The 27,912-nt window shown below is 59.8% G+C and overlaps 1 protein-coding gene, 1 long non-coding RNA gene and 1 other non-coding gene across 39 annotated transcripts in view, besides 17 other annotated features; 1 reads left to right on the forward strand and 2 right to left on the reverse strand.

The window, feature by feature from the left end:
- Positions 1–27,912, reverse strand: part of PLEC (plectin) — a 61,593-nt gene that overhangs the window by 26,545 nt on the left and 7,136 nt on the right. For 7 of the 37 annotated variants that reach the window (XM_047421881.1, XM_047421869.1, NM_201383.3 and 4 more), the window contains exon 1: positions 695–927. The exons of 9 other annotated variants lie outside the window; for them this stretch is intronic. In XM_047421881.1, the coding sequence (XP_047277837.1) occupies positions 695–818 (124 nt within the window). In that variant the 5' untranslated portion in view covers positions 819–927. Of the gene's footprint in view, positions 1–694; positions 928–2,081; positions 2,289–2,950; positions 3,074–4,652; positions 4,744–8,486; positions 9,230–12,028; positions 12,138–27,912 lie in introns of those variants that run through there. 21 more of the 37 variants (XM_047421893.1, XM_047421877.1, XM_047421891.1 and 18 more) reach the window with 5 other exon arrangements.
- Positions 374–463: a silencer, noted in NCBI's record as "silent region_19632". NCBI's record gives its function as "represses an Ori minimal core promoter by ATAC-STARR-seq in GM12878 lymphoblastoid cells {active_cell/tissue: GM12878}" and the evidence as "EXISTENCE:reporter gene assay evidence [ECO:0000049][PMID:35858748]".
- Positions 684–1,143: a silencer, noted in NCBI's record as "silent region_19633". NCBI's record gives its function as "represses an Ori minimal core promoter by ATAC-STARR-seq in GM12878 lymphoblastoid cells {active_cell/tissue: GM12878}" and the evidence as "EXISTENCE:reporter gene assay evidence [ECO:0000049][PMID:35858748]".
- Positions 1,364–1,613: an enhancer, noted in NCBI's record as "active region_28080". NCBI's record gives its function as "activates an Ori minimal core promoter by ATAC-STARR-seq in GM12878 lymphoblastoid cells {active_cell/tissue: GM12878}" and the evidence as "EXISTENCE:reporter gene assay evidence [ECO:0000049][PMID:35858748]".
- Positions 2,167–6,090, forward strand: LOC124902040 (uncharacterized). The gene is made up of 2 exons (XR_007061144.1): positions 2,167–2,473; positions 3,869–6,090. It is a non-coding gene; the product is annotated as an uncharacterized LOC124902040 (long non-coding RNA).
- Positions 2,214–2,483: a silencer, noted in NCBI's record as "silent region_19634". NCBI's record gives its function as "represses an Ori minimal core promoter by ATAC-STARR-seq in GM12878 lymphoblastoid cells {active_cell/tissue: GM12878}" and the evidence as "EXISTENCE:reporter gene assay evidence [ECO:0000049][PMID:35858748]".
- MIR661 (microRNA 661) lies at positions 3,494–3,582 on the reverse strand. Its single transcript, NR_030383.1, has one exon. It is a non-coding gene; the product is annotated as a microRNA 661 (primary transcript).
- Positions 5,012–5,799: an enhancer, noted in NCBI's record as "H3K27ac-H3K4me1 hESC enhancer chr8:145020877-145021664 (GRCh37/hg19 assembly coordinates)". NCBI's record gives its function as "activates a minimal SCP1, AML or CMV promoter by ChIP-STARR-seq in primed H9 embryonic stem cells {active_cell/tissue: H9 hESC(primed)}" and the evidence as "EXISTENCE:reporter gene assay evidence [ECO:0000049][PMID:30033119]".
- Positions 5,800–6,587: an enhancer, noted in NCBI's record as "H3K27ac-H3K4me1 hESC enhancer chr8:145021665-145022452 (GRCh37/hg19 assembly coordinates)". NCBI's record gives its function as "activates a minimal SCP1, AML or CMV promoter by ChIP-STARR-seq in primed H9 embryonic stem cells {active_cell/tissue: H9 hESC(primed)}" and the evidence as "EXISTENCE:reporter gene assay evidence [ECO:0000049][PMID:30033119]".
- Positions 8,162–8,949: an enhancer, noted in NCBI's record as "H3K27ac-H3K4me1 hESC enhancer chr8:145024027-145024814 (GRCh37/hg19 assembly coordinates)". NCBI's record gives its function as "activates a minimal SCP1, AML or CMV promoter by ChIP-STARR-seq in naive H9 embryonic stem cells {active_cell/tissue: H9 hESC(naive)}" and the evidence as "EXISTENCE:reporter gene assay evidence [ECO:0000049][PMID:30033119]".
- Positions 9,164–9,303: a silencer, noted in NCBI's record as "silent region_19635". NCBI's record gives its function as "represses an Ori minimal core promoter by ATAC-STARR-seq in GM12878 lymphoblastoid cells {active_cell/tissue: GM12878}" and the evidence as "EXISTENCE:reporter gene assay evidence [ECO:0000049][PMID:35858748]".
- Positions 9,834–10,023: an enhancer, noted in NCBI's record as "active region_28081". NCBI's record gives its function as "activates an Ori minimal core promoter by ATAC-STARR-seq in GM12878 lymphoblastoid cells {active_cell/tissue: GM12878}" and the evidence as "EXISTENCE:reporter gene assay evidence [ECO:0000049][PMID:35858748]".
- Positions 10,994–11,343: a silencer, noted in NCBI's record as "silent region_19636". NCBI's record gives its function as "represses an Ori minimal core promoter by ATAC-STARR-seq in GM12878 lymphoblastoid cells {active_cell/tissue: GM12878}" and the evidence as "EXISTENCE:reporter gene assay evidence [ECO:0000049][PMID:35858748]".
- Positions 11,414–11,463: a silencer, noted in NCBI's record as "silent region_19637". NCBI's record gives its function as "represses an Ori minimal core promoter by ATAC-STARR-seq in GM12878 lymphoblastoid cells {active_cell/tissue: GM12878}" and the evidence as "EXISTENCE:reporter gene assay evidence [ECO:0000049][PMID:35858748]".
- Positions 11,714–11,783: a silencer, noted in NCBI's record as "silent region_19638". NCBI's record gives its function as "represses an Ori minimal core promoter by ATAC-STARR-seq in GM12878 lymphoblastoid cells {active_cell/tissue: GM12878}" and the evidence as "EXISTENCE:reporter gene assay evidence [ECO:0000049][PMID:35858748]".
- Positions 12,024–12,323: a silencer, noted in NCBI's record as "silent region_19639". NCBI's record gives its function as "represses an Ori minimal core promoter by ATAC-STARR-seq in GM12878 lymphoblastoid cells {active_cell/tissue: GM12878}" and the evidence as "EXISTENCE:reporter gene assay evidence [ECO:0000049][PMID:35858748]".
- Positions 15,636–16,539: an enhancer, noted in NCBI's record as "H3K27ac-H3K4me1 hESC enhancer chr8:145031501-145032404 (GRCh37/hg19 assembly coordinates)". NCBI's record gives its function as "activates a minimal SCP1, AML or CMV promoter by ChIP-STARR-seq in naive H9 embryonic stem cells {active_cell/tissue: H9 hESC(naive)}" and the evidence as "EXISTENCE:reporter gene assay evidence [ECO:0000049][PMID:30033119]".
- Positions 23,098–23,875: an enhancer, noted in NCBI's record as "H3K4me1 hESC enhancer chr8:145038963-145039740 (GRCh37/hg19 assembly coordinates)". NCBI's record gives its function as "activates a minimal SCP1, AML or CMV promoter by ChIP-STARR-seq in primed H9 embryonic stem cells {active_cell/tissue: H9 hESC(primed)}" and the evidence as "EXISTENCE:reporter gene assay evidence [ECO:0000049][PMID:30033119]".
- Positions 23,876–24,653: an enhancer, noted in NCBI's record as "H3K4me1 hESC enhancer chr8:145039741-145040518 (GRCh37/hg19 assembly coordinates)". NCBI's record gives its function as "activates a minimal SCP1, AML or CMV promoter by ChIP-STARR-seq in primed H9 embryonic stem cells {active_cell/tissue: H9 hESC(primed)}" and the evidence as "EXISTENCE:reporter gene assay evidence [ECO:0000049][PMID:30033119]".
- Positions 24,654–25,430: an enhancer, noted in NCBI's record as "H3K4me1 hESC enhancer chr8:145040519-145041295 (GRCh37/hg19 assembly coordinates)". NCBI's record gives its function as "activates a minimal SCP1, AML or CMV promoter by ChIP-STARR-seq in naive H9 embryonic stem cells {active_cell/tissue: H9 hESC(naive)}" and the evidence as "EXISTENCE:reporter gene assay evidence [ECO:0000049][PMID:30033119]".

Consider the following 27,912-nt stretch of genomic DNA (forward strand, 5'->3'; position numbering starts at 1 on the left):
CCTATTCTGACCCTAAAACCAACAGACACACCCGCCCCACCCAGCCAGGCTACACCCACCCTCTACAGCTGCAGCTCAGCTGGCTCTCCCACCTGGGACGCACCCAGAACACCCCCAGCTCAGGTGCCTCTGCACACCTGCCTGACACCTGTGCTGTCCAGGGCTGCTGACCCTCGGCCGCCAGCCCAGGGTCCCTCACGACAGGCACTGCCGTGGCCCTCTGAGGAGTATCGCCCCCGTTTTACAGGTGTGGACCCTATGGCTGAGGTCCCGCAGCTAGTGGAGACGGTCCTAGGATGGAAACCCCAAGACTGGGAAGGGAATCCCACTGGCCCAGGACTGCAGCAAGTCCACAGAAGGCCTGGAGCCCCGCCTTCAGCACCTCCTCCCTCCCCCGTGTCCTGGAAACCCAGGCCAAAGCCCAGGCTGACGTGGAACAGCCGGGGGTGGGCCAGCCCCGCCCCCTCCAGCCCCGCCCCCTCCAGCCCCTTCTCTAGAGACAAACAAATGGGGGTAGGGGAACATCACCCCGCCTTCCTCCCCAGGTGTTTCCGGAGCTCGGGGGCAAGGCTGCACCGGGCCAAGGCGCCACCCCCATCCCAGCCCAGGCGGCGGTTCCCAGCAGAGACCCAGCCCCACTAGGTGAGAGCGATGGTGGCCCCTTCTGTGCCACCGGCCACGCCACTGCACCCACCTACGCAGCACAGCTGCTGGTAGAGGTAGCCCCTGCGGGCCGGCTCGCAGCCCCCGTCCAGCCAGCACGGCCGCTCCAGCAAGACCTCCCTCGGCGAGGCAAAGGCGCCCCCCGCCCCCGACATGCCGGCCACGGCCGGAGCCCTGGTTCGGCCCACGGACAGTGCGGGGAGCTGGACCGCGGCGGCGCCTCTGCTTCCAGCCCACGCTGCGAGGCTGCCGGCTTCGCTCTCCACCTCTTCCACCTCCCCCCCACAATCCGCCCACTGCGGGAGCGAGGCCCAGACCCAAAGAACCTGCCCCTGGCGCGCAGCCCCGCCCAGCGCAGCCAGGAAGCCGCGCCCCAACCCACGGGCCGGGCTGGGAGGCTGCCCTGGGACTGAAGCGGCATGGGAGGGGGCCTCCCAGCAGGATGTGCGGTGGGGACTGCAGGGCCCAGGGAGGAAGGCAGGGCATGGGGCCAGGTGGTGGGCAGACAACGCTGGAGGCAGAACCGAGGAGCTGAGCCGCGTCTGGCACCACCAGGGAGTAGAGGCATCCTGTGAGCCAGGACCGTGGCCGAAGGGGGCAATTGTGGGCTGAGGTGGGGAGGCAGGGACAGTGTCTGGTCCCCAGCCAAAAACATGGATGGGGAAGAAGCCCTCAGCCCAAGTCCCATCCTGGCAGCTGAGTCCCCGGCAGCTCCGGGCGTCCCCAGCGCCACGCCTAGAAGCCCCATCTTGACTCATCTCAAGTCCGGGGATCCAGCAGAGGAGCTGAGCCAGGCAGCGCCCTCACTGCAGGAGAGGTCTGGCCAGCCAGGTCCCCGATAGGCAGTCCCTCTGGCCAGAAGCCCATAATTGAGGCTGCCCAATCCCCAGGGCCCCGCCCCATCCTGTGCTGGGCACGGTTGCCACCTGGGACCACAGCCCAGGAGCTGGTGACTTTGAGCAGGGAGGGCAGGGCACAGCCTGGCTGCCCCCGCCCCCTGTGCGGCCCGAGGGCATGAGGGCACCTGCCTCACCTGCGTGTGGCTCCACCCCCTGCTGTGTGTGCAGGGAGCCACCTCCACCTCAGTGCTGGCCGGACAGGCACCTGCCCACTTGTCCCTGCCACGGCGGCTGCCACAGGCCTCCCTTCGTGTGGGGGACGCTCCTGCCCTGCCGGCCTCCGCTTCCACCCACCTGTCCCGCACAGGCTGCAGGCTGAGGGCCACTGCAGAGCCCGCCCCGCCCTGGGACTGCAGCAGGGTCAGGGTCTACACTGCAGGGTGGGGTGGAGGGGCAACACTGCTTTCACTGACATTCAGCTTGGAAACAGGAAGGGGAGGGCGCAGGGAATGAAGGGGCGGGAGGCAGGCGGCCCCTCTGCCCCGCCTCGAGTCCCTGGCAGCCACCAGCGGGGCTTACCTTGCTCGTCCTGCGCCCACCGACGTCCCCTGCGCCAGTGCCACACAGCGGCCAGGGTGACAACGTGACCCACAACCACCAGGGAGGGAAACAGGCTGCCCGAGGGCTCCATAGCCGCCACGCGGAGCCGCCAGGGCTGCCCTTCCTGCGCTGGGAACCGGCTGCTCCAGGCTAGACAGCCCCCTCCCTGCGTGCAGGGCGAGCGAGGGGGAGCGCCGGGACCGGAGCCTGCCCTGCCCGCAGGACCGCCCCATACGCGGCGGCAGCCCCACAACAGCTCCCGCCCGCCTCCTCTCCTCCTCCCTCCGCGGGTCCGGCCCTCGGCGCCTCCCCACCCTCGCTCCCCACCCGGCCGGCTCAGCTGTCCCTGCGCAGGGCTACTGACGCTCAAGGTTAGTTGGCCTTAACCCCTGCGTCCCCGCGGCCACACCCGCCGGGAGGAGGGGCCAGCCGCACGCCTGGCCAAGCCGCAGCCCCCCAGCACTGCCCGCGGCCTCGGCACACACCCTCCCTCCCTCCCAGCCTCCCCCTGCTGTCCCCACCAGAAGAGGGGCCCGAGCAGCCCACTCTGCCTCCAAGGCTGCCCTCTGGGGACAGCTGGCAGGCATGGAGGGATGCCAGAGCCCCCACCTCAAGCCTGCAGCTGAACCCACTGCACTCCTTCAACTTCGCCCTCCTCACCAGCCCCAACACCCCAAAAGTGAGACTGCAGACCAGGGCTGAGGGGGTCTGGGTGAGGGCACATGAGGCAGGCTGTGTGCAGGGCGAGGGACAGCGCCCCTGGCCTCCAGCCTCAGCCCCAGCCCTCTGGCCCCTGTCCCCAGCAAGGGGCCAGGATTTCACAAGGCTTTCAAGGGCTGCCCACCTACCGGGCACGATCTTCATCGGGGACGGTGGCAGGAGCCCACGGGGCAGACGGAGCGGGCCAGGGGTGTGGGAGGTCACAGGCCCCTCGGAGGAGGCACAAGCCACTGGCGGCAGCGTCGGGTGGGAGGAGGGCACGGCCGTGCTGCTGTCAGCAGCAGCTTGTGGGGGAGGGGAGCAGTGGGCAGGGGCCCAGGGGATATAAATATCCGAGGAGGGCGCGCAAGGACCGTCACCACCCAGACTTGGAACATGACGCACGGCGCCAGGGCACCCAGGCCCCGCTGCAGTCAGGTCTGGCTGGACGGTGCCACCCGACACCTCGGTCCCCCAGCTCCCACAGGGGGTTCTAATATAATAGAGCAGGGCGCGGGAGGTGCGGGCTCACGTCCCTGCAGGAGGCGGTGCAGTCCCCACCCACCTGCCCTGCCAAGCCAGGGGGTGCTCTTGGAAAGGCCACAGGGGCCAAGAGAAGAGGCCGCCCATTCTCCCAGAGGGCCCTGCGCAGGTCACTCAACACAGCACCTGGCCCCACCGGTGGCCGGGACAGCCACCCCAAAGTCACGCGCAGGCCAGAGACCCAGGCAGCCCGAAACCAGGGCTCAGGCCTGCGCCTGCCCCACAGCACAGCCTCTCCTGGGGTCCCAGGGATCTGGGATGGAGACGCCTCTCCTGGGCCACGGCAGGAGACTGGCCTGGCTCCACCCAGGAGTCCCGAAGCCCTGCTCTGTGGAAGGCCTGGGTCAGAGAGCCGGGCCACAGGCAGGCCCACAGCATATCCTATGCAGATCAGATCCCAATGCAGCCGGGGAAACAGGACGTGGGACACGCACAGTCCTGCTCCTCTTCCTGGGACCCCTGTCTGCTGGGCGCACCCCTCAGGCCCAGGAGAATGCACGTTGACGGTATACCCCATTCCACAGCGTCGCTCCTGGCACCACATGGAACCCTCAGCAAACCCCATGAAGTCCTATACCATGAAGGCCTCATACAGACCAGGAGCCTGAGGCGCCGCCTGCTGTCCCGCACGCTGCCATCTGAGCCCAGGTGGCCTCCAGTGTAGTTACCTCAGCCCACAGCAAGGCACAGTGAACCAGCCTGGCCCCGGGCCACTGGGCAGGCCACCCAGGTCCATGCTGGGAAGCCCGCGGACAACAAGAGGGCCGGGCCCACCCCAGCCTCCTGCTCTCCAGCCCCACACCTCAAAAACGTGCGGCCGAGGGAAATGCCTGCAGTGGCCCACTCTGGGCGGCCAGGGGTCGGGCGGGCCCAGGCAGCCCTGAGGGTCAGGGATACCCAGGCATGCCAGAAAGGGCCCAACTCCCAGCTGAGCCCAGGACAGCATCTGGCCAGCAGTGGGCAGGGGCCGACAGGCCGGACGTTTCAGCCCACTCCCTGCCACGTGCTGGGGAAGCCTCAGAGGAGCCTGACTCAATGGCCTGGGTGAGAACCAGCTCCTGGCGGGAGGAGTGCCCCAGGCTGGCAGCGGGCAGTTCTTCTACCACTCCACGGAGGTCCGGACAGGCCTGTGCTTCCGGGACACACATCACACACACCCCTGGGGCAGCTCCGAGAGGGGGCTGTGCCTATCCCTGCATCCCAGGTCTGACGGCACAGAACGGTGGACAACGGGAAGAGACAGGTCTGCCAGAGGCGGCCCCGGCCCTCTCCTCTGCCTCCCACAGCCCCCAGCTCTGCCTGCCCTACCTTGGCCCAGCTGAATCAGCTCCTCCATGCTGTACCTGTCCATGGCTGCCACACAGGCCAGGCTGCTCCGAGAGCCGGCAGGGAGGAAGGCGAGGCAGGAAGGAGGGAAGGGGTGGGAGGCAGAGGGAGGGCCCACTCATGCCCTGGTAGCAGCGGCTCCTCCTCGCAGCCACCCCTTAGTCAGTAAGCAGAGATGAAGCCCAGCCGACTGACGGGTCAGACCAGCCCAGCAGACCTGCCTGGGGGTGCAGGGGACTGGCCTGCCTGCAATCCCAGAGAGCCCTCCGGCCCCAGCCCACGGGTCTTCCCTACTGTTCCTGCCCCGCCCAGCAGACCCCCCGCCCAGCAGACCCCACCCTGTAGCCTCCCCTTCCCGCTGCAGGCCCCACCAGCCCAGCCCTGCCCTCCCACCCTCCCACCCACATTCCAGGCATCCATGTGCCCAGCGGTATTTCAGGAGCCAGGCGGGAGCAGAGCCCCAAACTGCCCACCACACCCCACTCCTTGAGACTCACATTCCTCAGCCCCAAAGGTGGTCTCTTCCTCCACCTGAGTCCTCCCCAACCAGCACAGCCCCAGGCATCTGTCCAGGGGCAATGGTGACACCTGCCTCCCCTCTCCATACCTCTCCACCCAGGTGCTTGCTGACCAGTGAAGTGCAAATCAAATCCCATCGTAACTACCCCTTAGAAGCCTGCCGGCGATCTACAGAAATCCCGCAAACGGGTGACTCGGCCAAGCCAGTGATCCCTGTGGAAAGCTGGCCGGGCCATAGTCCCTCCACCTAGAGCACCCTGTGGCTGGGAAGAAGGGCAAGGCAGCCAGGCCACCTCCAGGCTTCCTCCTTGACGCAGGGCCACAGAGGGTCAAGGGGGGAGGTCAAGGCACAGGCGTGTCCTCCGTGTAGAGGGGAAGTCATGGTGGCTACCCAACCCCTGCCCTTTGCTGTGGGAAGCAGCTCTAGGTGCTGTGCGTGTACAGCGCTCACCGTGGTGGCGGCTACCTGGCCCCTGCCCGTTGCTGGTGCATGGACAGCGCTCAGCTGGCGTCTCCTCCACACAATCCTCGGTTCCTTCAGAATTTTGAGCCAGGCAAAGCATCGCCATTTGCAATGTAAATTAGGGCTGGGCGGTAGCTATAATCCCAGCACTTTGGGAGGCTGAGGCAGGCGGATCACCTGAGGTCAGGACTTCAAGACCAGCCTGGCCAACATGGCGAAACCCCGTCTCTACTAAAAAAAAAAAACAAAAATTAGCCAGGCATGGTGGCTCATGCCTGTAATCCCAGCTACTCAGGAGGCTGAGACAGGAGAATCGCTTCAACCCGGGAGGCGGAGGTTGCAGTGAGCCAAGACTGTGCTATTGCACTCCAGCCTGGGCAACAGAGCGGGACTCCATCTCAAAACAATAAGTAAAATAAAAATGAAACGTAAATGAAACTCACATATAAAAACACATTCCTACAGCTTCCCACCACACCAAGCAACTGAAACTCTGCCACAGGCCCAGGGCCTTCCCATGGGTCCTCTCCCTCTGGCCTTCCGGCCTCCCTCTGTCCCTCTCTCTGGGCTGCTCCTGGCAGGGTAGGCACCTCCTCAGAGCCCTCCCTGATTGCTTCTGAAGCCACCTTCCCATCACGCTCTCCTCACCCAGTTCACCCCACATATCTGGAGCCCCCTGGGGCAGGGGCTCCATCTGGGTCTGGCCCTGGCCTGTGCATGGCTAAACAAGCAGGTGGACGGATGGCTTCCCACACAGATGTGTTGCTGGCAGGCCCCCATGGGCCCCACCCAGGGACAAGCAGACCACCAGGGCACAGGGAGGGCAGGGGCCTCACTGCAGGGGTACAGCTGGTGCTCCCTAGCCAGGGCTGGGTGGAGAGGGGCAGCCCATCCAACAGGGCCATCCTGGACCAGCACAGTTGGCCCACGAGCTCTGACCTTGCCCTTCTGCCAACCCACGGAGCGGCTGTGCAGTGGGGAAGGGCAGGGCAGCTCACTGCTTGGTCACTTAAAAACTCCAAGAAGTGCCTGGTCTCAGGTATCATCAGAACTGCCCCGGGCTGTATGCAGGGCCATCCGGACCCCTGTCACTGCCTGAGGCCCAGCCCTGGCCCTCTGCCACACCCCACATCCGAGCCGCCTCCTTCCCCTAGCTTCCCATCCCAAGCTCAGCCCGTGAGGTCCAGGGCAGAGAGGGGTTTGAGCCTGCTGGCCCTGACTCATCCCGGAGCTGTGGCTCGCTTCCTGTTGGAAACTCTGAGCTGCTGCTGGCGGCTGTGGCTTTGGGGGGACTGAGTCACCTCCATCGGGGAGGGGTGCCCTCCGCTCTGCCTGCTGCAGCCACACCCAGCACACCCCACTCTTGGCCCTGCCGCCAGCTGCCCGCCCTGCAGGCCCAGCCCAGCCACGGACAAGGAAGGAGAAAAAGGAGGGGAGGGACTCCCAGTCACCACAGCTAGGAGTTGAGCATGGGGAAGCTGGGCTGCCAAATGACCGGGGAGTGGGTGGGCAGGGGTGCCGGGTGGGAGAGGACAGCAGGAAGGCCACATGGGCCGGGGCCTGGACTACATGCCTGGCCAAGCAGTCTTTGTCTCATGCCTCCTGTCGGGAGACATGTCGTCCATTTAGAGAGGAGCTGGAGAGGCCACTAAACCTGTCCAAAGCCGCAGAGAGAGCCAGGAGGGGAGGCCAGCCTCCACCCCACAGCCTCACTGATCCTCCCAGATGGGCCCAAGGCAAGCCCCTAACAAGTCCAACTCACCCCAGGCCAGCCAGCACCAGGGCTCCGCCCAGCATCCCACACGGGCAGCTGCGCCCTAAACTTGGGCCTCCCCTGGGCCCCCTCCCCCACACCCTGGCAAATCCTGCCCACCCTGAGAGCCCCACCCCAGGCCCCCTTCTTCAGCCTGAGAGAGCAAGCTGCTCCCAGGTGCCAGCCCCAAAGAGGGAGGTGGGGCCAGGTGCTGGGGGACCGGGCCATCCGGAGCCAGCACGGAGGGCAGAGTGCTCCACAGTGTGTGTGTGAGCCTCGGGCTGCAGGGGACACATCTGCCCACCTGGGTCCTGCTGGTACAGGTGCTTGTGGACAGAGGGAGGCCACAGAGAAGGGGCAGAGCAAAGGGTCTCTGGAAGCCTCTGGGATGACAGGACCCGTCCTGTCCTGTGCGACCTGGTTCGTACCGGGAAAGGCCTATCTAGGCCCCAGGCTGGGCCAGCAGACACCACACCACAGCCTGGCCTCTGCCCTGCCGGAGGAGCCTCCTGCCTGGACCCTGCGCTTCTCCCCATCCCGCCCAGGGCCGTCCCCAGCCACCACCAAGTCCAAGCTGGCCAAGCACTCAGTTACCGGTCACACCGGGCACTCTGTGCGGCACCAAGCCTCACCCATCAACCCCCGCGGCAAGGGAGGCGGCCAGGCCATGTGCTGGAGGAGGGCCACACCCAACCGGCGCCAGCACCTCCTCGCACACCCCCACCTCAGTGCCGAGGAGCCTCGGGGAAGACAGGTCACTGGGACAGGAGAGGAGGCGGAGGGGGCGAAGGCAAGGGCAGTGTTGGAGAGAGGGGAGGGGGCGCCCCGGGGTGTGCCTGGGCCACAGGCTCCTCCTTGGCCTACACACCCGAAGGTCCCCAGCCGAGGAGGAGGGGCCACATGGGCCCATCAGCAAGCGCACCCCCTGACCCTCGGCTAGGGGGGGCCACCTGCTGGTGTGAGCGACGCTCCGCAAGCCGGCTGACCACTCCAACCACTCCAGCCCAGGCCCAGGCCCAAGACCCGACAACCAGACCCCTACTTGCCACCCATCATGACTTGGGGTCAGGGTGCAGCTGACCTGTGGCTGGGGCAGGCTCCGGGCCTGGCCTGGCCAGGGTCCGCTGGGTGGTAGCAGGCACCACAGGGGTCTCAGGTGACACCTCCTCAAGCTCCTTCCGACGGTAGACCCGCTGCTCCTCCGTCGGCAGCGGCCCCCGCTTGGGTGGGGAGCCCAGGGGACCCTGCACAGCCTGCACGTGGGGGGTGCGGCGTGCGGGCATCACCATGGCGACGGGGCGGCGCACGCGCTGCAGAGAGGCGGGCACGATCTCTGGCGGCAGGTGCAGGTACTGGCGGAGGTGGGCGATGCCTTCATTGGTGAGGTACCAGTAAAAGTGGCACCAGGCAAAGGTCTCGCGGACCAGGCCCCGTGCCCGCAGGGACGCCATGGCACGCATGACCTGCAGGTTGGTGACGCCGGGCACATGGGGGTGCAAGCTGCGGGGCCGCCGGTCCTTCTTGGCCACCATCACGCCCTCGCGGAAGAGCACCTCATAGATGGCCCGCAGCTGGTCCCGTGGCATGAGCATGCCGGCCACCATGGCTGCTGGAGCCGGGCAGTCAGTGCGGGGGCAAAGGCAGCAGGCAGGGTACCACGAGAAGGCCCGGGGCGCTGCGAGAAGCTCCCGCGCTACAGGGTGTGACAGCGGGCAGCGGCAGGGCAGGCGGGCGGGCAGGCAGGCTGGGGTGCTGAGCGTGAGGGCGCGGGCTCCCGGCTGTGTGGCTCGTGGCGCCTGGCTCCGTGCAATCCCTGCCGGCACTGCCGGCTGCCCGCCTTCCTCCAGGACGCCGGGCCGGCCCCCTCTGACTCAGCAGCATGGGCGGCCCCTCCCACCCACAGCCGACGGGGCCCTTGTAGAGTGGGGGGCACCTCAAGAGGCAGCGGCCACCCCCACAGCTGCCCCTTTCCCCCCACCAGGCCCCACGGCTCCAACGTCAGAAATGACATCAGTTTCTAAACACATCCTTCAAGGTCCCTAAGACTGTGCTGGGGCAAGTGGGGGCGGATATAGACCAAGAGTCTAAAGAAGAGGGTGGCAGGGCAGGCAGGGGGGCTGAGGGCAGGAGGGGTACTCGGCAGGGATGTGGGCTCTGGTGTCCCGGCTTCACAAGGATCTGAAGGGGGGTGCTGGGCTGCCAGGCCTGGAGGGATGAGGGATGCGAGGCTTGAGCGGAGAGGACTAGGGCCTGGGGAAGAAGCTGGGGTCTTGCGGGAGGAAGTCCGAGGGGAGCGGCTGGGGGCAGCTGCCACAGCACATGAGGAGGGCTGCAGGCACCGCTGCTGCTGTCCATCAGGCGGGCAAACGGACAGAGCCCCCACCTCCACACACCAGGCTTAGAGGCAGTGGCCACTCAAGTTAACACTTCCCATTCCAGGCCAGATTAGGAGTGGCCTCTCCAAGCCCACAGCCCTCTGAGCAGAGCACCGGCTAGGGGGCTCAGAGGGGCCTCAATTCACCCCCACCTCCAACCCAGCTGTTGGAGGCCAGAGATTCCCAGCCGCTGCCACAGAGAAAGTCACCGAGTCCCTACCGCCCACAGATGCCCACCCTGGGCAGCCCAAGTGCCCGTCTGCAGGCCAGATGGATGGCTGCAGGGTGGAAGAATGCCAGGCCAGAAGACGGCCAGGGCCCAAGGGAAGGGAAGAGGAAACTGCCCTGTGAGGCCCTGCAGGCCTGGCCCAGCCACACCCATCATCCACCCCCCCCTCCCCGCCCCGCTGCTGCCGCCCCCACTGAGGGTCCAGGCATGAGAACCGCACCCAACACTCCCACTGTCCCACGCTGTGCTCCATGGACCCCCACCCGTATCGCTGCTCGCCCCAAGCCGACACACCCCTTCCCACCAAGCCCGGCAAACCCGGGAACTGATTATAAATAGGGCGGTGGGGGGGAGTGGGAGAGAGGGGGGATCCCGAGGTGGGAGGCGCTGGCCAGCAGCCGGCAGGCGGCCAACAAGCAGCTTGTGGGGGCGGGTTTATGGGGCCGTCGCCATGGCGCCACGGTGCAGGCTCCAAACACACACACACACACACACACACACACGCGCGCACACACGCACGCGCACGCGCACGCCTGCGTACACAGAGGTGTGGTGGCGGGGAAACTCCGAAGGCATAGCCACGGTTCCCACAGCCCTCTGGCAGGGCCAGCTCGCTGCGGCATGGCTCTCCCTCCCTCTGAAGCCAGCCCCAGGCAGGAAAAGGCCAGCCTCAGGAGGTGAGGCTCCAGGAAGATGTAGGGACCACAGTGGCCACGCCCCTCGGACCACCAGCACCTGCGGACCCTCCACCCACCAGGGTTGTGGCTTTGGGAACAACACCAGCTGGGTCCAAGCCTGCCCAGCCCTGTGCCCAAAGAAGGCCCTACCCTCTTGGCCAGTCCCTCAGCGCACCCCCCCACACTGACCTCCTGCACTCCCGGCAGGCCGACCGCATCTTCCTGGCCTGATTCCCTAACCTAATCCCCCCCAGATCTCCAAGGGCCCCACCAAACTAACCCACGATACCCACACTGTCCCAAAATGATCCCAAGGCCTCTTAAAAGCACGTGGACCTAGGTTCTCTCCTACACAGGCCTGCAGGGGTGCCAGGACTGACCCCCGCTGGGCCGCCACCCAACCAGCCCCGCCTCCCCCAAGCCGGCTCCGGGCAGGAAAGGGCGGTAGCTTCCTCCAGCAGAGATGGGGCGGGGCTCGGCGGGAGTCCCCTCCCTCCCACCAGCCAGGGGCCTGCAGGCGGGAAGGGAAGCCGCAGGGAGGAGCCCGGAGCAGAATGTTCCTGGCCCACCCTGCCAGCTCCGCACACGCCCCCCTGCGGCATGCGCCACCCCCCCCCGCCTCGCAGCACACACCTCCTGCAGCACACACCCCCCCCGAAGCACACACACCCCTGCGCCAGGGTCCAGGCGTCCCCCAAGACCCCCGGGCGGAAGCTACCGCCCCCTGCCCCCACCCTGTGGGAACCGAAGCGGGAGCTGATTCAGCACTGGGAGGGCCAGGGTGTGCGACTGGGCGGCCCCTTCTCCCCCCACTCCAGACCCCTTTGGGTTTCCAGAGCAACCAGTCAGGGCTCCTGGGCAGCCCCCAGCCCCCCCACCCCACCCCAAGACAAAGAGCCGCAGTGTGGACTTGCTCAGGGCCAGCCGGCCCGGCGCCTCTGCACAGTGGTCCCCCAGCCCTGCCCTGCCCCTTGGACGCCAGGTTGTGGGCGGCAAACTCGGGCCGGGTGGAAGGGGCTGACCCTGCTGTGAAGGCTGAGCTCCCACTGTGTCCCTGTCCCCGCCCCGCCGCCGCCGCCGCCGCCGCCGCCGCTGCAGCAGCCACCCCGCCCCCGACGCTCCTGCAGGGCTGCGGAGCCGCTGAAGCCAGCCCAGTAGGACCCCGAACCAGGTGGAGCCCGGAGGGGGACGAGTCTGGGGTCTCCTGCGGCTCTGGCTCAGCGACCCACAGTGTCACCCCAGGGATGGCAGACCCTGCCCGCCACCCTGCGTGGACTGCACCCAGCCAGAGGTCACTGTGTGGTCCGCGCCCCCCGGCTCGGGCCCGGCCCCAGGACCGCACCTTTGAGGGAGCTGATCTCGTTCTGGATGGCTCGCGAGGGGTCCATGTCTGCGCCGGGGCTGAGGGCGGCTGTGCCACCACCAGGCAGAGTCCAGCCCCGCACCGCACTGCCCAGGCCAGCGCCGCAGCCGGGGGAGGAGCCCGGAGGTCCGGGGCAGGGCTTGCCGGCCAGGGGCGGGGCTTCAGCTGATCAATGCGCCGGACAGGGCCGCCCCGGGCGCATGCTCCCGGCCGCACCGCGCACCCCTCCCCCCCAGCCTGTGGTTCTGGGGCACGCGACCCCGCTAACCCCAGCCAGACTGCCAGGTCACCAGGCCGGATCCAGGAGCGCTCGGACGGCCCACTCCCCAGCTCCGCAGCCCCCGGCCCACCCCACAGCCCCCCGAGTCCACTGCAACGAGCCATGCTTAGAACAGCCTGTGGGACACACGTGCGAGGGCCTTGAAGCCGTTACCCGCGCCCTGCAGGAGATACCCACCCATCCAGATCTCCCAGTAACTTCCTCAGCCGGCCCAACTCCAGGGCCTGGGCTGGCAGGCTGCTGAGATCAAGCCCCCAGACCCTGGTCGGCCACCTCCCACCTCCCCGGCCCCAGCAGTGTGCCCCTTCCCCGGGCGTCTCGCCTCTGCGCAGCCCTGGGTCAGGCACCTTGTACACTGGCTCCAAAGATGACAGGTCCGACCTGCACCCTGGTCTCTGCCTCTCCCACCCAGCCTCAGGATGCCCCACAGGCAGCCCCACAGGTCCTCCTGGCTGCGCCCCCCAGTCTGCCCACTCGCCAGCATCTCCACTGCCGCCAGATGACACTGCAGCTCCATCCCTCACCCACCCCCCACGACCACCAGGGACCCTTCGCAGCTGCTCTGATCCAACCACCCCTATGGCTAATGGGGTCAGCCTCCTCAGCCCGCAGGAGTAGCTGTGTGTCACTGCGCACGCCTGGGGGAGCAGGTAGCACTGGCAGGGTGAGGTCAGCTCTGCCTCACTCACTGCGCTGCAGGGGGCACGGAGGAATGCTGGGCCCTGCCCACACCAGGGCACCCCTTCAACACTGGCCCCGGGACTGTGCTCCACCCCAGTCCGTGCTGGTAGTGTGGGGCAGGACAGCCTCCACAAGATAGAAGTGACTAGCCTGCCTCAGTCTCCAGCAAGGCCTTTCCTCTGCCTTCACCCGCAAGTCCTTCCCCTCCTGTAAACAGACCCACTGTGCGCCAGGCTGGGGCTGGCATGGAGGACGTGACCATGATCCAGGAGCGAGGCCGGCAGCTCCCACGGGTACGAGCTAACAGGCAAAGGGCCAGAAGCCAGCCCCACCTCCACCGTAGACCCAGCAGTTCTGGAGTCTCTCGTCCCCCTGCCCGTCCCTGCCCTCCCTGGGACTCAGCCAGTTGGGGTGTGGGGAGTCTCAAGAAACACCAGTTGCCAAACTTAAGGAAAATGGTGAAGTGAGGAATTAAAACAGAATTTCAGGCCGGGCACGGGGACTCATACCTGGAATCCCAGCACTTTGGGAGGCCGAGGCAGGTGGACCACTTGAGGTCAGGAGTTTGAGACCAGCCTGGCCAACATGGCAAAACCCCATCTCCACTAAAAATACACAAAAAAATCAGCCAGGCATGGTGTCACACGCCTGTAGCCCCAGCTACTCAGGAGGCTGAGGCACGAGAATCACTGGAATCCAGGAGGCTGAGGTTGCAGTGAGCCGAGATCGCGCCACTGCTGAATTCCCAGCTAGGTTTTACTGAGCTGTATCTGGATAAACCTAAATTTGGCCTGCAAGTGAATCATACTTCCTTAGTAAACCTCAAGTGAAAGTGACAGATATTTATAAAGAGATCTAAAAAGTTCATACATTTTTAAAAAATGCTGTTTTTTTTTTGTTTTGTTTTTTTGAGACAAGGTCTCACTCTGTCACCCAGGCTAGAGTGCAGTGGCTCAATCACGGCTCACAGCAGCCTCGACCTCCTGGGCTCAAGCGATGCCCCCACCTCAGCTTTCTGAGTAGTTGGGACTACAGGCGTGCACCACCACTCCCAGTTCATCTTTTAATTTTTTATACAGACAGTCTGTCTCTGTGTTGCCCAGGCTGGTCTCAAACTCCTGGGCTCAAGCAATCCTCCCACCTCCCAGTGCTGGAATTACAAGTGTGAGCCACACTGCCTGGTCCAGATCAATTTTTTTAATTTAATGCATAAAAATTTTCCTCAGCCTAGGGAGACTTTTTTTTTTTTTTTTTTTTAACTGAGGCAGAATCTCGCTCTGTCACCCAGGCTGGAGTGCAATGGTGTGATCTTGGCTCACTGCAACCTCTGCCTCCTGGGTTCAAGCAATTCTCCTATCTCAGCCTCTGCAGCTGGGACTACGGATGTGTGCCACCGCACCGGGCTAATTTTTGTATTTTCAGTTGAGATGGGGTTTCACCATGTTGGTCAGGCTGATCTCGAACTCCTGACCTCAGGTGATCCACCCGTCTTGGGCTCCCAAAGTGCTAGGATTACAGGCATAAGCCACCACGCCCGGCCAGGGAGATTTTTTTAAAGGATTAAAACGCATAAAATGGAATGTTATAAGATTGGCCAGGCGTGGTGGCTGAGCACTTTCCGAGGCTGAGACAGGAGGATCACTTGATCCTGGGAATTCAGGACCAGTCTGGGCAACAAAGCAAGACACCGTCTCTGCAAAAAACTAAAAAACTATCCTGACACGGTGGCCTGGGCCTGTGGTCCCAGCTCTTTGGGATGCTGAGGCAGAAGGACGGCTTGAACCAGCCCACCCAAGGCTGCAGTGAGCCGTGATTGCGCCACTGCATTCCTGTCTGGGAGAGAGCAAGACTGACTCGAAAACAAACAAAAAGATAGGATCATGGTTTCAAGCTAATGAGAAGGTGAGGGCACACAGCTGTTCAGAGAAGGAACACACAGCTTTTCATGCACCGACTCCGCCTTTAACTTCCCCCCTGAAGTCAAGCTGCCCGCCTGTGAGTGGCCACCATGGTCACCTGTGGTCTCCCGCAGCCAGAGGCTTATCGACAAGCTGCAGCAGCAGCAAGTTCCCATGAAGGAGCCTGAGACTGCCCAGCCCAGCCTGCCTGGAACGGTGGCCACATGGTGCAGCCTTGGAAGTGGGGGCGGCCACGATGACCCTGGGAAGGGCTCAGCCAGCTGCACGTCAGTCAGCTCTGTGGTTCCTTCCCGGCACAGGCTTCCCAAAGGAAGGGACAGCTATGTGGGGACGGGCCGCAGGCAGCCAGCACAGGAAGAGAGGCCACAGGCACCAAGGCCTTGCCGTAGAGGAAACAAGTCCAGGCAACCCCCAAGAAGGTGGAGGTGGCTGCAGCCGGGAGGGGGGCGCCTGGAGACGGGGCTACAGCCGGGGATTTCAACAGGACAGGCAGGTCCCAGGCTGGCAGCGAAGGGCCCACGAGCAAGAGATTTAGGCAGCGGGGAGGAAAGGGAGCTGGGGTAGAGGAAGCTGGGCGCCCTGGTGACGCAGCTCTGGAGCGTGGGAAGCAAAGCCCCGGCCACTGCCCAGGAGATCTCATCGCTCTGGCCCCAATTCATGGATCACAAAGGAGTCTTGCCGAAGAAGCACGCGGGTCTGTGTGTCCAGGCCAGTGAACTGCAGGGACCCCCAGGCTGCAGTCGGGCTCACCAGCACCAGTGCCTCCGGAAAACCCCTACCTCTAGCTTCTGCTTTGCTGGTCGAACCCAGCATGGCCCCCATGCCCAGCTGGGGTGCCATCAGGTCTCCTGGCCAGGTCTCACACCCTGGGCAAAGCCAAATCCTCATGAAGCTCTCTGCAAATTCCCCACACCACTGGGGACCCCAGAACCAAGGTTGAGCCCAGGCACCACAGATAAGCCCTCCCTCCTTCCCAACCCCTCTGTCTGGGCACAGAGCAACCTCCTCTTCACCAGTCCCCAGGCCCTGGCTGCCCTGGCCACAGGCCCAGGCCAAAGAAGGGGCTCCAACCCTGTCCCCCACACCACACCTGCGAATGGGATGGGCCCTCCCCTGAGGCCCTGCCCACCACCACCCTGCCTGCCCTCAGCTTTGCTCCCTGCCCCATCTTCACGCCCACCCACCCACCCAGCCCCTAACCCCCTGGCAGCCTGCCCTGCTGGGGCTCTCTGGTGGTGGTGGAGCAGGCCAGTGGGCTGTGACCCAGTGACCCCATGCAGAGGCGACCTGCGACAGGCAGACACCCTGCTGGCAGATACCTCCACCTGGGGCCCCCGACAATAGCCCCAGGGAGACCAGGCCCAGTGAAATCCTGCCAGATACATCCAGCACACACTCAGCCCTCCGGAGGCACAGACCCCTGCTCTGCTCCCCGCCTGAGCCTGCGGCAGGTCCACAGGAGCCACCTCACCTGCCCCAGGCTTCTGCCTCGCAGCCTTGGCCCAACAACAGCCCGGCCTCTGCGGATGCTGCGGGACAGGTGGGAGGAGAGCCTTCCATGCTCTGGAGGCCACCCCTGCGCAGGGTGGGGCTCAGTGCGAGCTCAGTCGGGCCAGCCAGCCTGCAGGATTTCTGGGGTGGAGGGCCACCACTGCGGGACTGGATGCCCACCAGGGCTGCTGGGAGTCCCAGTGAGGGCCCAGGAGGCACAGAGGTCATCTCTCCGAGCCACATCCTTCTCCTCTCTCCCCTGCAGCCCAGTACAAGAGTATCTCAATACCAGGTGTCTGCTAGAGACCAATTTGCGGGGAAGGTCCTGGGTCCCACCCACATGACCATCCATTAGGGGGCCCATCGTTCCCAAATATCTCTCAAACCTGTCCTGTGCCCACTGTCTCCACCACACCCTGGCCTGGCCACCACCCTTTCACCTCAAAGACAGTGGTAGCCTCCCTCGTTGCCCCTCACCTCCAAGCACTGGACAACAGCAGCCAGTGCTCTCCGAGCACAAGCAGGTCCCACCACAGCCCTGCCGCTGCCCTCTGGAGGCCCTCCTCACGCAGGCACCTGCTCTGCTGCAGCAGGGTGGACCTCGCCAGGCCTCTGTGGAGAGGCTTCTCACCTGATCCATGGTGGCTCCCCCTTCCCTCCCTCTCAGCCCTCCAACACCGAGACACCTGTGGGCCCCTGGGGCGGCTGCCTCACCCAGCACCAGACACGAAGGTGTCACCACAGGAAACATGGAGCAAGAGAAGAAATGAATTCCTGGAGTTCAGGGATAATGCACTTTCCCAGAACTCTGTTAATATCGTTGACTTCACTAGCAGATTAAAGGAGAAAACCGGTATATTGATCTAGAAAATCTCGACAGCTCATTTGATAAAAACCAGTATTTATAACAAGGAATGAGCTTACATCGTTAACATGCAAATAAATGACCCTTGTAGCACAGCGGGGCACCCTCCCAGTGTGAGGCGAGGCTGCTGAGGGGAGGGCGTGTGAGGGTGAATGCGGACGGTGCAGGCGCAGCTCTCGGTCCAGCGCCAGGACATGGGACAGCATTTACCCAAGTCAGCACTGCTCCTCTTGGCACCTGAAACAACTCAACTCACCATTTACTGGAGCTCAGAGAAAGTTCATTGAGAGGCTGGCTTCAAACGCAGTTAAAAGACCCGAGAGATTTCTTTAGGCCAGTAATAACAAGTTAGGAAAATACAGCAGGAAAAACTCTTCATCAGCACAAAACGTGCTGGAATAAGATAACTGACGATCGGTCAGAGCTGATGCAGGGAACGCCCCGGCTCCAGGATGGCTCCAGGACCAGGCTCGGGGTCCGGGATGCAGAGGCCCAGGTGGCAGATGCCGCGCTAACCTGACGCGGCCGCAGTTCTGCTCACCCTCCCGCTGGCTCTGCCAGGAGACTCCTTACACAAGTTCCCGTCAGACAGCGAGGCCATGTGACTTGTCTGAAGCTCCAACACCGGGTGCTGGGCAGGTGGGAGGAGTCGGCCCACTTGGGCACTGCTGGAGGGACGACGACTGCAGTACCTAGCCAGCAACTTAGAAATTGTTTAAAAATTGTGTCTGAAACCTGGTGTGGTGGCTCACGCCTGTAATCCCAGCACTGTGGGAGGCCAAGGCGGGCAGATCACGAGGTCAGGAGATTGAGACCATCCTGGCTAACACAGTGAAACCCCATCTCTACTAAAAATACAAAATATTAGCCGGGTGTGGTGGCGGGCGCCTGTAGTCCCAGCTACTCAGGAGGCTGAGGCAGGAGAAGTGGAGGTTGCATTGAGCTGAGATCATGCCACTACACTCCAGCTTGGGCGACAGAGTGAGACTCCGTCTCAAAAAAAATAAAAAAGAACTGGCCAGGCACGCGGTGGCTCACGCCTGTAATCCCAGCACTTTGGGAGGCCGAGGCAGGCAGATCACCTGAAGTTGGGAGTTCGAGACCAGCCTGACCAACATGGAGAAACCCTGTCTCTACTAAAAATACAAAATTAGCTGGGCATGGTGGTGCATGCCTGTAATCCCAGCTACTTGTGAGGCTGAAGCAGAAGAATCGCTTGAACTCGGAGGGCGGAGGTTGCAGTGAGCCGAGATCATGCCATTGTACTCCAGCCTGGGCAACAAGAGCGAAACTCCGTCTCAAATAATAATAATAATAATAATAAAATAAACAATAAAATAAAATAAAAACTTAGGCCAAGCCCAGTGGCTCATGCCTGTAATTCAGCACTTTGGGAGGTCAAGGCGGGCGGATCACCTGAGGTCAGAAGTTCGAGACCAGCCTGGCCAACAAGGTGAAACCCCGTCTCTACTAAAAATACAAAAATTAGCCGGGTGTGGTGGCGGGTGCCTGTAATCCCAGCTACTCAGGAGGCTGAGGCAGGAGAATCCCTCTAACCCGGGAGGCGGAGGTTGCAGTGAGCTGAGACTGCATCTCTGCACTCCAGCCTGGGTGATAAAGCAAGACTCTGTCTCAAGAAAAAAAAAAAGAACTTATAACAGTTTACATTCTTCCCTTCACTAAACTTTAAAAATCAAAATCGTGTTGGAATAGAAAATATTCACGTGACTCAAACACTGAGAGTAGACAGAGAAGTCTTGCTCCCCTCCCTTCTCCCTGTCTCCCCCCACCCACACACACAGTGTGAAAATCACTGTTAGTGGCTTCCTGTTTGTTTCTCCAGAATTTCTTTACAGAAAATCAAGCAAATACCATGTGATTCTTGGTTTTCTTCCTTTTAACACAAACGGTGAAATCTTCCGGGCACCATTCTGCCCCTGCTTTCCCACCCACCCCACAGCTGGAGGCCTCCCGCTCTGCACGGGGACCGTGACCCACGTCTGGCCATGCAGAGCGGCACGTGTGGGCCCAGCCTCTGAGCGCACTCAGGCCAGTGACCATCGTCTGCTCGGACACACACTGCGCGTTTGTGGCTCTGACAGACGCTTTCTCTGGCCTGGTTCCCACAGCTTCAGCAACAGAACCTAGAAATCCAGATTTTTGATTTTTGCCAATACGATAGGTAAAAAACAGTATCTTGATGTAAATTAAAGCTTAAATTTTGAAAACCACTTGACCCAGAAATTCCTTTTTTTTTTTTTGAGACAGAGTCTTGCCCTGTCGCCCAGGCTGGAGTGCAATGGCGCGATCTCAGCTCACTGCAACCTCCGCCTCCCAGGTTCAAGTGATTCTCCTGCCTCAGCCTCCTGCGTAGCGGGGATTACAGGCGTGCACCACCACACCCTGCTAATTTTTGTATTTTTAGTAGAGACAGCGTTTCACCATGTTGGTTAGGCTGGTCTCGTACTCCTGACCTCGTGATCTGCCCAACTCGGCCCCCCAAAGTGTTGGGATTACAGGCGTGAGCCACCGCACCTGGCCAGAAATTCCCTTTTTAACAACAGTCATAGAGATGCACAATGACCCAGCTACAACACTGTTCACTGCAGTCATTTCTAATACAAAAATCCAAAATTAAACTCCGTGTCCTAGGAGAAAGGATTGATTGGTTAAATATGATATGGTTTCCATACAGGGGAATGCTGTATTGTAAATTAATGTCACAGAGAGATGCCCAAGCTGTATCACTAAGTAAAAGAAGTTACTTATGTCTAAAATACTTCATAACATTAAATCATGAAATTACAGATAAATTAACACACACTAAAGAACACTGTGCATGCTTTTTTATTTTTTTATTCTTTTTGAGACAGGGTCTTGCTCTTGTAGCCCAGGTTCACTGCAGTGTTGACATTCTGGGCTCAAGAGATCCTCCCACCTCAGGCTCCCAAAGTGCTGGGATTACAGGCATGTGCCACCTGTAATCACGTGCCCAGCCCACTGTGCACGCTTTTTAAAACAATGACTATGGAACAAAAATGTGTAAGTTCTACATTAACCAACTACTGCAGGATGGCTGGGTAGGTCCAATGGTGGCCACAAAAAAATCTATGTCCATGTCCCTGGAGCTCATAAATGTGGCCTTATTTGTAAACAGGGTCTCTGCAGATATAATTAAATAAAGGATCTTGAGATGAGATCATCTTGGATTACCTGGATGGGCCCTAGATCCAAAAGCAAGTGTCCTTAGACGAGGAGAGACACAGAGGCAGGGATTGGCATGATGCAGCCACAAGCCAAGGGGCAGTGGAGTTGGAAGAGGCAGGCGGCTATTCCTAGGCTCTTCCCGGGTGCCTTCGGAGAAAGCGTGGACCTGCCGACACCGGATTTTTAACTTCTGGCCTCCGGAACAATCAAAAGATAAATTTCTATTGTTTTAGGGCGCCCTGCCTGTGGCTCTTCCCTGTGGGAATCAAAGGAAATCAATACAGACAGCGAGCAGGAGCAGGGTGCCTCTGTGACGAATATCTGAAAATGTGGATGTGGCTTTGCAATTGGGTAATAAACAGAAGCTGGGACATCTTGAGGCACACAGTAGAAAAAGCCTAGCCTGTCTGACCAGACGGTTGGTAGAAATATGGGTATTAAAGGTGCTTGTGGTGAAGCCTTAGAAGGCAACGAGGAAAGTGGAGGAAAGGTGCTTCTCACATTGAAGCGAAACTTCGCCGAACTGTGTTCACTGTCGGGTGCTCAACAGAACTTGTAAGCAATGAACTTGGATATTTAGCTGAAAAGATTTCCAAGCAAAGTGTGGAAGGTGTGGCTTGGCTGCTTCTTGCTGCTTATGGTAAAGTACAGGAAGAAAGAGATAAATTGAGGAAGGAACTATTAAGCAAAAAGGAAACAGCATGGGTGATTTGGGATATCTGCAGCCTATTTAGATTGCAAAAGATGCTCATGTTGGGAGGTTCACTGTTAGGAAAGTGTGTTCTGCAGAGAAAGCCATCTCTGCAGAGATGAGGTATGTGACTCATGGGTCCATTCACTCATCTCAACAGAAGCCAGGAATAGAGACAAGATTATCCAGGGAGGATCCGAGTGAACCCTTCTCTCTAATGGCCTGGCTCCCTGTGACATACAGGGGAGACCCAGAAGGTTTATGAGAATGTTTTACCAGCAGAAACACTGCCTGCTTGGATTGATGGGAACAGAGACAGGATGAAATGAAGGAAGGTATTGGGCTTCTGAGAGTCTACAGGCAAGAAACAGGATGACAGACCCAGGCAGCTGCAAACATGTGCTACCCTTTGAGAAAAAGGAAGAATGACTCCAAGGTCAGGGCCTTAGGCCTAGAGGCAGAGGCTGGCAGAGGTGCAGGTGCAGAGGGTGGGGCACTGAGCCACAGAAGAGCATTCACGGGCCTTGAAACCCCACGGAATTTGCCCTGCTGGATTTCAGACTTGCTTGGGACTGGCAACCCCTTTATTCCTTTATATTTCTCCCTTTGGGAATGGTGATGTCTAGTCTATGCCTAGCCCAACATTGCAGTTTGGAGGCATAAAACTTGCTTTCTAGTTTTACAAGTAAAAAGATGGAGAAAAATTTTGCCCCCATCTGGATCCTACCCAGAGCCTCACCAACACCTGATTTAGACACAACTTCGATGATCAGATTTGGGACTTCTGAGCTGATTAAATGTTGTTCTTGTTTTTTTCAAGATGGGGTCTCATTCTGTCACCTGGGTTCAGCCTCCAGGGTTAAGCAATCCTCCTACCTCCACCTCCTGAGCAGCTGGGACTACAGCCATGTGCCACCACACCTGGCTAATTTTTTTTTTTTTTTTTTTTTGAGATGGAGTCTTGCTCTGTCACCCAGGCTGGAGTGCATTGGTGCAGTCTCGGCCCACTGAAACCTCTGCCTCTCGGGTTCAAGCAAGTCTCGTGCCTCATACACCTGAGTAGCTGGGATTATTGGTGTGTACTACCATGACTGGCTGATTTTTGTATTTTTAGTAGAGACAAGGCTTCACCATGTTGGCCAGGCTGGTCTCCTGATCTCAGGTGATCCACCCACAGGCCTCCCAAAGTGCTGGGATTACAGGCGTGAGCCACTGTGCCTGGCTAAGCGGATGGAATTTTAGACTTAGAGCTGATGCTACAATAGGTTGAGACTTTGGGGCATGTTGGCATAAGAAACATTTATTTTGGAAGTGGGGCAGATGTAAGTTTTGAGGGACCAGAGGACAGACTGTAGTGGGTTGAATGGAGGTCCCCAAAAGATATGTCTATGAACAATTCCCTGGAACCCATAATTGGTATCTTATTTGGAAAAAGGGTCTTTGCAGGTGTAATTAACACAAGGATCTTGAGATGAGATCATCCTAGATTACCCAGTAGGGGGCCTAGAACCAATGCCAAGTGTCTTACAAGAGATGGAAGAGAAGCCACAGGGGAGAGGGCCACGGGAGGATGGAGGCCGACACTGGAGTGATGCGGCCACGAGCCCAGGCACCGATGGCCACCAGGAGCTGGAGAGGCCAGGAACAGAGTCCGCCCTGGAGCCTCCGAAGGAGCGTGGCCCTGTCAACATCTTGATTTTGGACATGTGGCCTCCAGAACCGTAAGAGAATACATTTCTGTTGTTTAAGGCCACCCAGTTTGTGGGTACGTGTGACAGCAGCCACAGGAACCTAAAACAGGGCACATTCTCTGGGGGTATCTGTATTCTGTAAACAACCATGCATTCTTGTGGCAGTCATGACAGTGGCGTCCAGCTGTGTCTCTTAGGCCTATCCTGTGCCTGCTCTGTTAGCTTCCCAGGTAGCCACTCGTTTAGCAAGAAAGAAGAGAAAGAGATGCACTTTCAAAAGGTCAAAAGACACATTCATTTGAAAAACAGAGCAGAATAAAAATCATAAAAGCCACAACCAGAGACCTTTACTGCAGCTACCTCCTTCTGCTCCTGCAGACCCACACTTCCAGCCCTGACCAGCCCCACTCCCCCAACCAACCCCCACCCCCCCGCCCACCCTGGTGTGCCCCTGTGGATGGCCTTCCCCACCCTCACCGTCCCACTTGGCCCCAGCCCACCTGACACACCAGCCTGCCCAAGAGCACCCAGACTCACACCAGCCACCCTGATGCCGTCCTGGGGCCTTCCTTTCCTGCAGCACTGGCCCTGGGTCTGCCGCTACTCCTGGAGCCACACAGGGACACAAAGTGATCCCCATCCCATTCCTGGTCCTGGGTCTCCTCTGCCTCCAGGAAGAAGCAGCAACAGTCCTGCCAAGAGCTGACCACCAGCTGGGAGGACTCTTCTGCAGCTAACCAGGACCCAAATCCTGGAGAGCAGGCCCCACAGGCTGATGTCCCAAGTCCTACAGGATCCTGTCTTCCCAGCTGGCACCCTCCTTCCACCGTCTGAACGCGTGTTCCCAACTCCCCTTCCACTGGGCCTACAGATGACCCGGCCCATGCCCCATTTTGGGTCCCTGACCTCATGACCCACGGCCCCTGCTCTCCCAGCCCCGCATCTCCCTACCCACTGTGGGTCTGTGGGCATCACCCATGACCCCAGCGGTGGGAGATCTGGGCACCTGGTCCCACTAGCATCGCCCTTCCCAGCCTCCTCCAGTCCCTTCTTGAGGTACCTGGCCCCTGGCCCCTCTGCTGCCAGCTCCTCTTGGGCCTCACTGGGGAAACTGAGGCCACAGGGCACCACTGCCCACACCCTCCCAACAGCCCAACCCTGGGAAAATCTCCAGGGCCCTCAGTGGTGAGCAGCAGTCTGGACTGGCCACTGATGATGTGTGGCTGGGTAAATGTGAGCGACCACTCAGTACTCACCCTGGGCCAGGTGATGCCCATGCCCCCTGTGACCATGCAGGTCCCTCAGGCCAAGGCCCAGGGAACTCCTTCCCCAGGGAACTCGGGCCAGCATCCAGCTGAGGCTGTGACCTGCTGCGGCCTAGCCTCCATGTCACCGCTCTGTCCTGGAGAGGGTTCTCCCTCCCTGCCACCCTGCTGGACCCACCATAGCCTGGCACCAGCAGGGCCTCCTGAGCACTTCCCACATGCCCCCTGGCACCTCCAATCCGACGACACCCCAAGCAGTCCCGCTGAGGTCCCAACACCCCTCATCACCTGGTCCCAGCACCATCCAGGCCTCACCCTGCTCCCAACGTGGCCCTGCTTCCTCACGCCCCTTCCTCCTTCGCAGACCCAACAGGCCCCCATGGCTGCACAGCTGCCCACTGCTCTGCTTCCCGGCTGCCTCTTCTCATAGGCACCTAAGCTCTGGAGGACCCCAGGCTCAGAGCTCTGGCCCGAGGCCTGCCCTAGTGATGGCCTCCCAGCCTGGCCTCCCCACCTCAGCCCAGCATTTCCTGCACCTCAGTGTCTGCACACGCATACCTATCTCACAGGCATCTCTGATTTTATGCACCCAAGGCTAAGCGCTGGCTCTTCCGCCCTCTCTGCCGCAGGCACATCCTCTCCACCCCAGGCTGCTCTCTACCTCCACAGCCACCACGGGGGACTCCTCAGCCGCTCCTTGGGAGGCACCAGGCCAGGATCTTGCAGGGGTCCAGCCAGCTCCAAGTCCACCTATCCCTCCCACCCAACGCTTGTTTCAAGCCACACCTGCCACAGGACAGGGCGGGGCTCGGCTGGGGGGGTACAAAAGTGAAGCAACACATAGTCCCCGCGTCAGGAAGCTGGATTCTGCCACAGGACAGGGCAGGGCTCGGCTCGGGGGCACAGAAGTGAAGCAATACACAGCCCCTGCGTCAGGAAGCCGGATTGGTGGAAGGGGAGATGTTTACAATCATCCCTGTAACCCACAAGCCCACGGCCAGACCCTATGAGCGTGACACCAAGCATGACATCGAGCCTCCTTGAACATCTCGACCTCAGCCCCAAGCAAATTCCACAAAGATTAACGACAGAGATGTTTAAAAAAATGCAGCAGTGCTGGAAGCAACTCTCAGCAGATGTTTTTCTAAAAGAAGGCCATTTTAAGCATAGCATAAAATCCAGAAATCATAAAAGACTGGTGAGTGTTAAAAATTGATATGGCTAAAGAAACCACAGACAGAATTAGGCCAGGCGCGGTGGCTCACGCCTGTAATCCCAGCACTTTGGGAGGCCGAGGTGGGCAGATCACGAGGTCAGGAGATCGAGACTGTCCTGGCTAACACGGTGAAACCCCGTCTCTACTAAAAATACAAAAAATTAGCTGGGCATGGTGGCGGGCGCCTGTAGTCCCAGCTACTCGGGAGCCTGAGGCAGGAGAATGGCTTGAACCCGGGAGGCGGAGGTTGCAGTGAGCCGAGATCGCGCCACTGCATTCCAGCCTGGGCAACAGAGCGAGACTCCATCTCAAAAAAAAAAAAAAAAAAAAAAAAAAAGAAACAGACAGAATTAAACAAAAATAGATGCGTGGTGTGAGACCCATCCATGGTGTGCCCAGTGGGGACTCAGCAGGAACTTTCCAGGAGCTGAAAAGTTCTGTTCCGTGAGCTGGTGCTGCCCACAGGCAACTTCGAAGTTTACGCCGAATACAAGTGTCCCTCGGTATCAGCGGGAGATGGGTTCTGGACTCCCCATGGATACCAGAATCCACAGATGCTCAAGTCCCTGATGTAAAAAGGTGTAGTAGCCAGGCATGGCAGCAGCTCACACCTGTAATCCCAGTACTTTGGGAGGCCAAGGCAGGAGGATCCCTTGATTCCATTTCCATGTGAGCACAGGAGTTTAAGACCAGCCTGGCCAACAATGCTTGTGAATAGGCAGTTCACAAAAGAAAAGGTGCAAATAGTCAACAACTCTAGGAGATGTGCTCAGCTTAATTAATAATCAAAGAATTCAGGCCAGGCGCGGTGGCTCACACCTGTAACCCCAGCACTGAGGCTGAGGCAGGTGGCTTACTTGAGGTCAGGAGTTCAAGACCAGCCTGGCCAACATGGGGAAACCCTATCTCTACTAAAAATACAAAAATTAGCCAGGTGTGGTGGCGCACACATGTAATCCCAGCTACTCGGCGGACAGAGGCAGGAGAATTGCTTGAACCCAGGAGGCAGAGGTTGCAATGAGCTGAGATCATGCCACTGCACTCCAGCCTGGGTGACAGAGCGAGACAGAGCGAGACTTCGTCTCAAAAAAAAAAAAAGGAAGAAAAGAAAACATTGGTGTAAAGCTTCATGACTTGGATTAGACAATGGCTTCTTAAATATGGCACCAAAAGCACAAGCAACCAAGGAAAAAGATAGATAAACTGGAGTCATAATAATTAAAATTAAAATGTACGTGCTTCAAAGGACACCACCGGCCAGGTGAGGTGGCTCACGCTGTAATCCCAGCACTGTGGAGGCTGAGGCCAGGAGTTTGAGACCAGCCTGGCCAATATGGCGAAGCCCCATCTCTACTAAAAATACAAAAATTAGCCAGGTGTGGTGGCAGACGCCTGTAGTCCCAGCTACTCGGGAGCCTGAGGTACAAGAGTCACTTGAACCTGCTCCAGCCTGGGTGACAGAGCAAAACTCCATCTCAAAAAAAAAAAAAAAAAAGACACCAGCAAGCAAATAAAAAGGCAGACCACAGAAACAGAAAATGTTTGCAAATCATATTTCTGATAAAGGACTGGCATCTAGAATATATAAAGAACACTTACAACTCAAAAATACCAAAAGGTAAATTCTAAAATGGACAAAGGATTGAAATACACATTTCTCAAAAGATATAAAAAATGGCCAACAATCACACCAAAGTGTTCAACGTCATTAGCCATCAGGAAATGCAAATCAAACCACAATGAGATTCCACTCGACACCCACTAGGATTGGATGTCTGCAATCAAAGAGTCAGATAATAACAAGTGTTGGTGAGGATGTGAGGAAATTGGAAACCTCGCACCCGGCTGTTACTGGGCATGCAGAATGGCACGCCCGCTTTAGGAAGCAATCTGGCAGTTCTTCAAAATGGTTAAATATAGAATTACCACACAGCTGAGCAATTCCACTCCTAGGTATCTACCCAGCAGAAATAAAAAACATACGACCACACAAAAACGTGTATGCAAACGTCCATAGCAGCCTCACTCATAACAGCCAAAAGGTGGAAACAACCCACTATCCGTCAACTGATAAACGCATAAGCAAAAGTGGGCACTTCCACACCACGGAACCGACTCCAGCGGGGGGAGGGTGAGGTGCTGATGGCGCGGCGATGTGAGCAGCCCTGACAGCGTCCCGGCAAGTCGAAGAGGCCAGACCCAGGGCCAGTACAGGCCAATCCATAACCATTCCTGTCTGCCTGAGCCCCTCAGCCCCCCCATTCTCCCTGTCCCCCATCCAGGGCAGATTCCTCTGGGGCTGAGGCTACTGCAGCCTGTGGCAGGAGAGCTCTGGGCACCCTATGGGAGAGGCCTCCGTGCTGAGGGCTGTGGGCTGGTGACTTAGACAGTCGGCCCAGCTGCCAAGAGGTGTCCAGTCGCCCAGCCCCCCAAGCCTGGCCTGTGACAGCTCATAGAGGCTGGGCCGTCCTGCCACACCATGGGAGCCTGGAGAGAGACCTGGGGTGGGTGTGGCAGGGCGGGGACAGTTCTAGGAGAGAGTTGTGGCAATGCAGGT

This window comes from Homo sapiens, chromosome 8 (assembly GCF_000001405.40).
Source record: "Homo sapiens chromosome 8, GRCh38.p14 Primary Assembly".
NCBI classification, from domain to species: domain Eukaryota; kingdom Metazoa; phylum Chordata; class Mammalia; order Primates; family Hominidae; genus Homo; species Homo sapiens.